At 34.7% G+C, this 12,835-nt stretch overlaps 1 protein-coding gene across 44 annotated transcripts in view; it reads right to left on the minus strand.

The window, feature by feature from the left end:
• TCF4 (transcription factor 4) overlaps positions 1 to 12,835 on the minus strand; it is a 413,773-nt gene that overhangs the window by 85,933 nt on the left and 315,005 nt on the right. Inside the window, exon 1 of one of the 44 annotated variants that reach the window (NM_001348215.2) lies at positions 12,714 to 12,818. The exons of the other annotated variants lie outside the window; for them this stretch is intronic. The gene's annotated coding sequence lies outside the window, so the exon portion shown is untranslated. Of the gene's footprint in view, positions 1 to 12,713; positions 12,819 to 12,835 lie in introns of those variants that run through there. 44 annotated transcript variants of the gene reach the window in all.

The following is a 12,835-nucleotide window of genomic DNA, read 5'->3' on the forward strand; positions in this document are numbered from 1 at the left end:
AGGTATGTACTTACTTAAGTACTACTTAAGTGACACAACTTTATAACAACACAAAGTCAGGTTAGGGACTAAATGACTGCTAAGGACAAGATGGACAGACGTTTTCATTTACTATGAAAAATATTTGGATTATGTGAGTAAATACATATTTTTAAAAAATTTTAGATCCAAGGGGTATACGTGCTTGTTGTTACATGGAATATTGCATGCTGCTGGGGACTGGGCTTCTAATGTACCCATTACCCAAATGGTGAATATTGAACCCAATTTAACTTTTGATAAAATACTACTTTTTACTAAAACAGCAAGAGCAGAGGCATGAGCTCTGTAAAATTTGGCAGACACCAGCTCTCTCGGGAGCATTCTACCCAAAGGTCTTGTCTAACTGTATGTATGGACATATGCCCGTATGGTGGATGTGACACATTCATTAGGCTGCATAAACATTTCTTGGTTGTCTACAATATGCCAAAAGGTCTACAAAGATGCATTAAGACATGGTCCCTTCTGGAGGGTATCACTGGCTGGAAATTCAAGGTCCCCATTGTGTGCAGACAGGCAAAGGGCTGTATCCTTTGAAAAGTTTGTGTAACTCAAGCTCTAAATTTAAATTCAGTTGAGATAAGCATTCAGTAAAGTGCTACAAGGTAGCATTAAAATGTCAATTCTTACATCAGATATTTGACAATAAAGCTAAGAAAAATGTAAAAATATCCTATTGGAATATATAGCAGCAATGACTCTATTCTGTCATGACCCACATGATCTTCAGCAAGTTTTAATCCCTCAATGCTTCCATTTCCCAGGCCAGCACCTCCCCATGGAACTTTCTACAATGATACAAATATTCTGTATCTGTGCTAATACAGTAGCCACTGATCATATATGAAAACTCAGTAATTGAAACTTGGCTAGTGCAACCAAGGAAGTGATCTTTTTAAAGTTTTATTTAATTCTCATTGACTGACATCATTTATTTATTATTATTATTATTATCATTATTTTTAATTTTAGAGACAGGGTCTTGCTCTGCTGCCCAGGCTGGAGCACAGTGGCATGATCACAGCTTGCTGCAGCCTCAGCTTCCTGGGCTCAATGATCCTCCTGCCTCAATCTCCTAAGTAGCTGGGACTATAGATGAGCGCTACCATGCCTGGCTAATTTTTTTTTTTTTTTTAACTTTTTCTAGAGACAGGGTGTCCCAATGTTGATCATGTTGATCTTGAACTCCTGGGCTTAGGCAATCCTCCCGCTTCAGCTTCCCAAAGTGCTGGGATTACAGGCATAAGCCACTGTGCCTGGCCTTCATTTGAATGTTAATAGCCACATGGGGCCAGTGGCTACCTCACTGAACAGGCCAGGCTTTGCCTGTGAAATGGGATGATGACTCCTGCATCACCTATCTTACTGAGGTGCAGTAACGATCAAATTAGAACTGGGTTGAGAAAATGTCTGAAAGAACCGAAGCTTACAACTGTATTTTACTGGATATTAATTATTGCTACAATATTTTCTGTAAGCTTTATTTTAACTGTAAGCCACTTTCCTAATAATTAAAAGTCACAGTAAGATTGGTTTTATACTCCATAAATGTCTGAGTTAAATACCACACAGGCAAGCTTCCTGAAGCATATTCTAAAAACACTGTGTAAGCAAGTTATTGTTCTACAATTATTCAGAGGGACATATGGACTATAAGAGAAATACTGAGAGTGCAACACAGATAATCAATGATTGATCAAAAAAAGGTCAATACTCCCTCAAATAGTTTCACTTACAGGAAATTCATGATTTAAAAAAATTACCATCTTCCAGAAACAGAAATATTCAAATAAAAAAATTACCATAAAAATAGTAATCTTTATTACTTGTCTGGCACACAAAAAGAATGTTAAAATTTTCTTTTCAGTTGCTCACTTTGAGTACAGACAACGCTGTACAATAAAAGGTGGAAGACAGTTCAAAATAAATGCCAGTTTAGGGCAAACTTATAGATGGTTACAGATGTGATGTACAAAGTAAACCTAAACACATCAGTGTGATTTTACTAGAATGTGTTGTACCAAGCTGGACAGGGAAACAGGAAGAGTGAAGTGCAGGGTCTGAGAATGCCTGTGGGAAGGAATTGAAATTCCATTAGCTAATGGGCTAAGCAATAAATGAAAGCATATCTGTACACCAAAGATATACTGCAAATCAGAGCTGCCATTCCCGTGCCCAGCCTCCATATCTACTCTCATTAAACCTTGGAGAACTTTGTATATCATGGGGAGGAAATTGAAGAGTGGCTCAAGTTACTGTGAGGCTTGGCAACTAGCTCCAAAATGTGGCACCTAAGGAGTGAGGTCTAGAAGTTGGCAGATGTAAGACTCAGCCACCAGATCCTGCCACCTTCCTCCACAGGGTGCTACAGAAGGCAACTGAGGTTTCAAAATCACTTCCGTATCATGGCCAAGAATTATCCACATTGAGGAGAAGCGCAGCAGTGGCAGGGAGAGAGGTCCCCAGTTGTGAGGAGGTAAAGGAGTTGCATTATTGGGAAAGCTGGAAAGAACATCTTCAATGTTGGCTTTAAATTTTAATCTTTTCTTGATAACAGACGATATGATGTTATGATGTTAATGATGATGTAAACAATGTCCGTAATGCCAAAAAACTTAAAACATAATTATTAATTAGTTTCTTTATGCTAATTTCTTCTTTCCACTTTATGTCCTGTAGGGAAAAAATGGTAATACACTTCCTCATTTAGGATGATTCAAGACAAACCAATAGTTACACTGATAGAGGGTTCTAAACATTTTAAAAGGTAAGACAAATATATGTTTAGGGTATGCAGACATGTTGTGTTACTGACTCAACATATTCTAACAGCTGCTTTGAAGCCATTCCAGTTGGTTCACAAATAATGTACAATATTTAATACACTATAAAATCTCACGTTTTCATGGTAAAACGTAGAAATACCTGGGCAATGCTATAGTGTGCTATGCCAAAACAAACAAACAAAAAACAATGTTTTGGAAACAAAAGAAAAAAGGAAAGAAAAGAAAAGGAAAAGGGAAATAGAAAGGGAAAGAAAAAAAACAAAAAAATGTTATCCTCTATAAATGCCTCACAATGCCAAGATTTAATTATGGAACTTATTATGACATTATTTAATTCTTAAGGTCCAGATATATCACTTTGCAAGCAGGACTTCCCAACCTCAGCACTTCTGAGGGTCTGTCTTGCACGCTGTTAAGATGTTTAGTAGCATCCCTGGCCTCCAGCCCTAGATGCCAGTAGCAAGCTCCTGCCTGACCCCCACAGTTGTGACAATCAAAAGCGTTTCCAGATATTGCCGTATGTCCCCTGGGGAACACCCTGTTCTAAAGATATATGTTTGTAATCTTAGTCTGTCAGCAACAAATATCCACTTTGATTTTCTTAAATCTTCATATAAACAATGTCCATCTCGAGGAGTATCTTCTTTCAACTAAACAAGGAAATAGCCATTGACACCCATGATCACTTAGTATGTGATAGTCTGACTTTGTGATCTTATGGCCCTCCATAGTCTTAGCCTCTAACTTTGACACAGGTAATGTATGTTCACTCTGGAACTTTTAGAACCAACTCTATAGCAGTCTTGATTATGTGACAGCAAATATTTTATCATTTTCAACTAAATGTTCTGAACTACATGCAATAATCAAAATAATACTCTGCAGAAAAATTTCTGAGGAATAAACAAGTTTGAGTAATAAATAATTGGCATTATCTATTACTGTCTAGTTATGAAATCTATCCATCTATCTACCCACCCAACCATACTTTCTCCAATCCAGCCATACATTCATCATCATAAAACCTGTCATGCTTTCAATTCTGATTGAGTTACACAGGTAAAAAGCCTAGGACTGGCCAAAGAGTTTAATCTACATAGCTCCCTATTGGCAATGCATCTGTGAAGACACTGTTGTCTATACATAATTCCACATCAGGCCAGCCATATATTTTATATACTACATCATCTAACTCGAAACAGGAAAATATCTTAATGTATAAATGTGTTTAGGTTTTCTTAAATTGGTTACTTTGTTAAATAGGTAATCTATTGAGAGATGCAAGATTCTAATACGGATTATCCTGAAAAGGTAAACATTTAAACAGACCAACTGAACCCAGGAATCACCATCTAACTTTAAAACAGGTTAAATGGATCTTCAACATGAAGATTAAAAATGTATTAAAGATTCCAAAAACAAGTGCTAGCCTAAAGCTACTTAGCCATGATCTATTTGTCCTTTCTCATCTGTTTTTCCTTTTTCGTCATCTAAAGATAATGGAGGAAAAGCACCATAAAACCAAAACTTCCTTCATAAGAAACAATTCCGTATGGTTTTGCATTTTTCAATGTCATATCTGAAAGGTAAAGCAGCTTCTCTAGTCTAGAGGTTAGGATATCATAATGATTCATGTAAGTCATCTTTCTTGGGGTTAATTAAGGAAACTGAATCCTAAATGATTTTATCAGCAAAAGTGACACTGTAAAGTTGGGCCAAGAGGATCTGCTATTACAGGAATCCTTTAAAATGTAAACGCTTTTAACAATCATGCATCTATTTCTAGCAGTTTTAGCTCATTCCCTGGAAGCATGCAAGAGGTGTGCTGCACTTTGCAACCTCTGGGAAGTAGGATTACCAGATTCACATCAACACATCTAATTTTACAGTTACCTTATTTAAGTTTTTAATACGGCACAGGTCTTTTTCTCAGGTGTTAATAGAAAAATCAATTTTAAGTCACAACAGCTGTGATCATTTTAAATATCACAGCTGTCATGAGTTGAAAATAACCAATTTGAGCATACAAGTTTCTGCTGCAAATGTAAGAAAGTGGAAATGTGATGGAATTTTATCTTTTACTCCCTCTGAAGCTGAATGTCTAATACAATAGTAGAGTAATAACTTATTGGCTTTAAAATAAAATCAGGCTCCCATTTCTTTACTGACCTAGCAAACAGATGGCTCAAAAGAACAGAGAAGAACATCATTTTTAAGATACACTCCTATGGCAACTGTGGAACATGTTTAATTATGGAAGTATTAACTCAGGAAAGAGTGAGTTAAATAGTTGATATCAAAATTGAGAGTTCATTTATGTAAACATTTTGTTGTGAAGCCGGGGGGAGATTAAGTGGGATCCATGCTACATATTAAGTGTTATTAAAATCTAGGAATTTAAATTATTACACAGGACAAAGTCTAAACTGATATGAGAATAGTGTTAACTAGTATCTTGCAGAAAATAATGGCATTGTATCTATTTCTTTGCAAACTCAAACTAGCCACTGGATGGCATGAAATAAAAGTTCCTCTCCCTTCCCCTTCAATCCAAATTTAATGTCATTACGTTTCAAAGACTATAATGACATTCCTAAAGAACTCAAAATTTAAAAAAGAAAAGGAAAGGACAGGGAAGGCATTATTTATTCTACTGGCTGAAGAAAGTTTAGATTTCTCTGTGTGAAATGAATTACGGACAATGAACACCCAAGAAATTCTAGAATTATAATAACAAACAATTATTGCCACCTATGCTCCAGGGGAGAGCCGGGCTCAAGTGTCTGAGAAATGATATTGCATGATTAATACAAGGAAGAACTCAACCAGAAGAAAAGTATAATCTTATACCAAAGCCTTGGTAATGTTACACAACTTTTTCAAAATGTTTTCAAGGTCTCCTAACATCCTGGCTGATATATAAGTAGAAAATAAAAATTTAAAGTATTTTCATCCCAGATCTTCAATCCTACTTCAATGAGTTTGACATTTCCCTCCCCCCCTTACAAATTCACAGAGTAGAGATAAAACGTTGGCGATATTTGCAACTAAACAACTTGTATGAAAAAAGTTGACACCAATCCCCACCCCATTTGGCTTAGGGAAGCTTAGTGCAGCAGGTAGAGGGAAGCCCTAATATCCCATATTATTTGCATATTAATTTCAAAGCGACATGAAAAACACTGTAGTCTTTTAATCACATCAACACACAAAAAGGCACTACAAAGTGAAACTACACTTGTTACACATTTATCCCAACCCCCACATCACACAAAGGAAGCCTAAGAAAACAGCATCCATCCAGCTCCTTTAATGCTGAGCCTCCACTTCTGTAATAACAGGTGCAGAAATAATAATGTGCTGGCCAATCAACTTTTTCCTCTGATTTGTCAGTTTAGCTTAATAATGCCATTAGGAATGTAAACATTTCTGCAATTTATATTTAAAAGTCAATAAAATAATGGGGTGCAGAATTTATCCTTTTTAATTTTTTAAGTAATACATTTGATTATTTTAATCACATCAGTACTTAACTGGATAGGGTTTAAATACGCATGTAACATCAATTTAATTTGTTTTATTCGTTAGAAAAGCTATTGAGTCATACAGTATTTATTCTCCTTAAAAAAAAAAAAAGACCACACATTCTAGGAGAAAGGGAGTACAGGGCACTTGTATCTTGCTTCCCTTCTTGGAGATGGGATTCTGGTGCCTTCCAAATGTCTTTCAGTAGGAGCATTTTAAAATGGTAACCAAAGAGGTGAAGATCCAATACACACACTAGATGGCTGACAATAAAAAAAAGGAGTGTTTCCATACTGTGGATAAACTTTATTGGGCTACAGTAATAGGACTGTGGTTGGTAAATGCATCAACTATTTTTAAAATGGTGTGAGTTTTTCCCAACATAGCAATTCCCACTTAAACAGGATCATTATTGGTGCAGTCATTCAGTACTCTATAATTCTCACCCTTAGGTTTGTGGAGGTGAAAAAGCCAAGTCAAATGTTAGCCTCCATTGTTAACATCCCCTATTCATTTTCAGGACAGCTACAATGGAAGCAGCTGGAATTCAACTCTCCCCACTCTCTCCCACCAATTACCTCAACATGCCCTCTCTCAAGATGAGTGTAATTTGGTCTCTAGGAAAGCACAGAGCTAGGTCCCTGGAGGATGCCAGCCAAAGCCTGCATTTTTTTTGGTTGAGCCTGAAATTAGACCATCATCTACACTGTTCCCACCTCTGACTTCTCAGGTGTTCAAACCCACTCTTTAGCCCCCCTTTTTTAGGTGGGGAGAACGGAGTTTAAAGTAGTATACTCTCCTAAACAGAATGTTAGAGGCGTAGTGTCTCTTTTAAATCTTTTTGGATTAAATACCTCAATGAATATGTGCAGATTTCTTTAAGAAATTAGGAAGAATAGGAAGAAAACTAGGTAAACAGAAGCAACACAGCATTTAGAGACAGAAATATCAGAAATGTGAACTCTTAAATTCTAATCAGAATGTGGTACTGTGCCATAAATACATCTGCAAATAAAAGGTTGTAGTTTGGAACCAAGTCATGGATCTTTAGCACTGCAAAAAGGAAAGTCTCCAAAGTTTAAGTGGAGTTCATGTATAATTCTCAAACCACTTTCAAGCTCAAAACCAGTAAATTTCACCTTAAGTATTCTTCAGAAGAAAAAAATTGTTTTGCTTAATAAAATGCCATGGTATCTATATACCTAAAATGATATGATAATGTGCCAAATAGTTTATTACAGAATTTGAAATGTTATAAAGCCTACAACTATGGACATTTTCTGAAAATTCCAAGTATAACTTTCAGTAGATCACTTCACACTAAAGGAGACAATTTTATACAAGTATCTTTTCCACTTTTGTCACTACTGATCTCTTTTTCCTGGTATACAAACAACTGCTTTTTTTTTAGGACTATGATGATTTCCTAAATAGATTATAAATGTTTTATGAATATACAGATATCCCTTTTTTTTAAGTAATCAATAATGTTTATCATATACAACTTTAGCCTGTGTCATCTTAGAGTTATGTTTGAAGTATTAAGGGCTAATAAAGTGCAATTAAACATATAAAAACTTGAAAAAGCTTAAAACTAAAATTACTTTTAAACTATGTTGACTGTGAAAGATTATTTATTTTGTAACTCTGATAATATTGGAGGGGGAAAAAAGGCCCAGTAATCTTTTATGTGTCCGCATACTGAAATTCTCACAGGTACAAGGCATGCATTTAGGTCAGCTGTGCAGAGCAAATATATGTCTCCACTGTATTTTCTTCTTAAGGCAAAAGTAAATCTGAATTCTAACAACTTTTACAATTGCCAGAACCACATCTAAAATCTCTAAATTTTCTGAATGAGTAAACAAGAGATTCATTTAATAGATCCCTGATGGCAGCATGTAGACCATGTATTTGACCTACAATAGTGATTCTAAAGAACTTAGACTGCAGCATTGTTTTTCTTAGTGGCAGAGCAGTAATAGAAGTTTCAAGTAGGCTTGGAAACACACACATACAAAATTCATATAATGAAATATGACAGTGTCTAAAATCCAACTATGATCAAGCCATTAAAAGATAAGTTATAAAGGAAGACATCACTTATTCTCAAGCCTCCATCGTGGTACTACAATTTAGTAGAAACAAAACAACAACAAAAAAAGCCGAACAGGGGATGTAATGCAAACCACATTTATAGTGGAACAGGAAACAAATGATTCTTCAGCACAATTTCCTGTAGATCAGTTGGAAAGGTATTTAAAAGACTGCATCAACTATTAGATCTTTTTTCCTGACCACTTTTCTCCCCAACCCTCTTTCTCCTATGCCAATGTCCTTTCTCCTAATTCTGCCTGCAATAATGCCATCACCCAGCGACAGAAGGATGCTTTACCAACACTATATTTAAAATGCTTAGACCTAGCAGAAATTAGGAACTAGATAAAATTAACCAAAGATGTAACTGATCCATATTTTTTCCCTGAGAAATTAGCCTCACAGAAACGTTCAAACTGGTATCTGTGAATCTCATGCAGGGATTTTGAAAATTTAATCAGAGGCAGGAAGGCAAGATGTAGCCACAATGTCAAGATTAAGTGTCTGGTGAATTTTTATCAGCTTAAACATAAAGAACAAAATCAACATAATTTTGTTTTAAAGTAATGAAGCATAAAAAAAAATTTCATTGTTATTTTTAAATGGGTAAATTAAAGTGCCAACTATATTTAAAAAATAAGCTCACAAAAAAGCAGTTTTTCCTACATGCTTTCTCTTTGATATGTTTTATTTTATTGAACCAGTGGGGAATTTAAAAATTTGATTACTTTGTGGCCTAAGCAAATTTTTGCTGTGTAATAGCAAGTAAACAGCAATTAAAAAAAATAAAAGCATTTATACTGGCTGCTTTCATTTATAATCATGGTTCTGAAAATAGTAAGTATAAGAAATATATTTTTAAAATGCCAAATGTAATTTGCATAGTTGACACTCTACTGGAAACTTTAAAACCCAGTGGCTACCTATGTCCTATGTGTGGCTGTTCCAACCAACTGTGAGGTTTGGGGGGAAAAAAAAGAGCCATATGTAAAATGTACTGAAAAATGTTATTAGTGGCGTCATTTAAATATTGATCTTTTTATCTTAGCACTTCCTGTGATAAATGAGAAAAAGCTACACTCTTCATACCCCAATTTTCAGCTTTAAAAAATTTAGGTTGCTGACTGATATTGTCACTTATTTACAGGAAAACTTTCTTCTAAGAATAGAGAGTTTCCCAATTGAGAGATTCTGATATTCAAATATTCCTAATTTTTCACCTTAAGCAGGACTCGTAACATTATTTTATTCTTTGGCCTTGATATCAGAAATAATTAACATCCAGTTTCATCTCTGAACTTTATGGACTTGAAAAGCTGCATAATATGACCAACAGTCAGAATATAAACATAAAAAGCTCATTACCATTTACTTTCCGAGATTTGATGATTTGACAAATAACTATTTCAAAACAACTACTTTGAAACATGGTTTGAAGCTTGTTAGTATAAAGCAAAAAGAGCAATTACAATAATTACAGGTTTCTCTCTACGGTTTAACACATGCACATGCTGGCGAGAGCTGATGATGTGATCTTCAATTACCATTACGAGGACATTTCGCCACTTTTGTTTTCAGTTTTATTTGCCATAATTTTATCTTCGTGGATATGCTATAATATTAGATATGTGAAATTTGACCAAATAATCACTTATTAAAATTCTTCTTCAATGAACATGCAAGAAGCCATAAAGATCAAAATTTAGAGCTAGAACTACACTTATTGGAGAGCAGGTAATGCCTAATACTTCTTATAGCCTTAATAAGGACAGACACATTGGCACACTTTGATACAAGCTTGTATTTCCAACACAAAATAAGCTACTGATTTTCTCTGCAAAAAAAAATCTGTTTCGTAGTTCAGAAGTGGTGCTTTAATTTTTTTTAAGCTTAGATTTGGATCCGTTAGTATTTAAACCTCTAATGCATAGAGGAAAAAAAAATCACAAAAATTATTTTATCAAGTTCATGAAACTCTCACCTGAGGAGAAACTGATTTTTAAAAATACATTCTGGTTTATATCCAAAATTTATTCTTTGATAGCTCTTGTGTTACGATTTTTTGTTAAGTATTTTTTTCAGAGTCCACACTTCTGGACAGGTACAGTTGTTCACAGAAACAAGGAAAAATTTTTTTGTGGGATATGGACATGGAAACACTTCATAACTTAAGGTAGTAAAAAAATTCACGTTTTTTTCGTTTGTCCTAAAATATCATTGATTATATTTCTGCTAGAAAGTTAGAGGACAACTGATTTTACAAACCCTATAGTTGCCAGTTCATAAAAGAAGAAACCATAATTCTTGTAATGCTTAATTATATTCTTCCCACAAGCTAAAATCACTGTGTTTTGGAATGATTTTCCATTTTTCTTCTTTTGTTTATTCACAGGGAAAACCTGCTTCCTCTGGCCTCTCTCAGTTCAGGGAGTTCAAACTGAATTTAAACAAGTAATTGACTTGTCACTGGGAAAAAAGAAGGAATTCAGTGCTGTGTTCTCTTCAGAGGAAAACTTGTGCAACAAATAGCTGACCACACTTAACTTCAACAATTCAGGTTCAAACACACATTGGTTAGACATGCACATACACACAAAAAAGCATAGATATTCAACCTCCAAACGATAAGTAAAACTCAAGAAATGTAAAGTCTCTTCGATAGGCATTTTGAACAATTAACGCATGGTATATACAATCTCCACAACATGTCTGGCACCAAATCAAAAGCCACTCAATGCAGAATTAGAGCCAGCAGAATACACACTGTAGAATAAACAAAAATCTGCTTCCTCAGTGTATGCATGAGGGCATTTTAAAAAATGGTATAGAATTGGCCCCTTCCTTGGGACACACACAACTGGACTTTGCTGTCTGTTTCATAAAGCTAAGATGGACAACTGGTAGCCATCCGCAGTTTCAAAAGCTTTCTGCTGGTGTTCCAAATGGCTATTTTTTTTCTAACTATAATGTGTGTACAATTTGCCTCTTTCTAGTGTTTGAATCAATAGAGATACACATCACCAGATTTGTTTTTAATAAACGCCTTAAAACAGTTCCTATAAATACATTTCCTGTGACAGAGCGATCTTGATTTTATGAGTACCATCCTCTCAAAAAAAAAAAAAATCTAACAACCAAAATATTTGGCAACTGAGAGGGCATATTAGTGATATGATGTCATATTCAGCATTTTCTTACGGTGGAGGCAACTGGCAAGCTGTGGGAATGGAATACATATTTTTGAAAATTCCTTTTGGCCAAAAGGGAGTTAAAAGGTACAAAACTTAAATTAAAATTTTGTCAGTTCAGATATTTAAGATGCAAAATTAACAATTAACATGTAAAAGTCACATCATTGGTAATCCTGAAAGATAAAAACCATGGAAACTTATATTCTTTTATAATGTAAGTCTTTCATTACGGATAAGGGCTATCTAATCCCTGAATCTGCTTCAGAGACACTTTTGCTTACTGACTACGATGGCATCATTCACAAAATTTTCATTAAAAGTGCTTTAAAATGAAAGGTGCTGAATAAGTTATGTATGAGAACATCTAAAAGATAATAGGCAAAAGTCTTATCTATATATGAGTAACTACCAATTGCAAATCATGTACTTGTTAAAAAAAAAAAAAGATGTTACATAATCCCAATATTTATGTTTACAGATTTAAACACTTTGATCAAATCACAACGAAAACCATTTGTTTTAAAATTATATTTCCCTTACCACACTTAACTATTTTAATTACACCGTGCTCTTTTTTAAAAAAGATAAAAATAGGATAGCGCTATGAACTTTTGATGATTTACTCGTACTTTTCAAAATAAAAGTAAACGATATTATTTCAAGTTGCCCATTCATAAAACTGGCTTCTTAAATGAAATTATTAATCTTCTGAAACTGCACCTTCAAACAGTTGTGTATATGTATGTATTACAGAATATGCTCATCTAGAAATAACCGTTATGCATGCATCTGTATGTATATACACTCACAGGCATATAGCAGCACATACACATGTTTAATTCGTTTGCGCCAATTGCTACAGCTGAACTGGGCCTTCCTGAAAGCTCTGATCTGTCCCCTTTGGCCCAACTATCCCTGATTAAGATCAATCCAAATGGAAGTTCAAAGTACACAAAGAGAACAGTTTATAAATGGCTGCTTTTCACTTTTCTCTCATTCTTCTTTTCTATTTTAAAACAATAAATTTTTGCTCCTCTATCACCCAACAACTCTTCCCGAGAGCCCCACATACCGATTTGAAAATATTGAAATCCTTTTCCTTCAGTGGGCCCAGACGAAGGAAAAAAAAAATAAACCTCCAGATGGCAAGTATAAACCTTCTGCTGGGGTTATGCACAAAATACCAGACACATT

Source organism: Homo sapiens, chromosome 18 (assembly GCF_000001405.40).
Source record: "Homo sapiens chromosome 18, GRCh38.p14 Primary Assembly".
NCBI classification, from domain to species: Eukaryota; Metazoa; Chordata; class Mammalia; order Primates; family Hominidae; genus Homo; species Homo sapiens.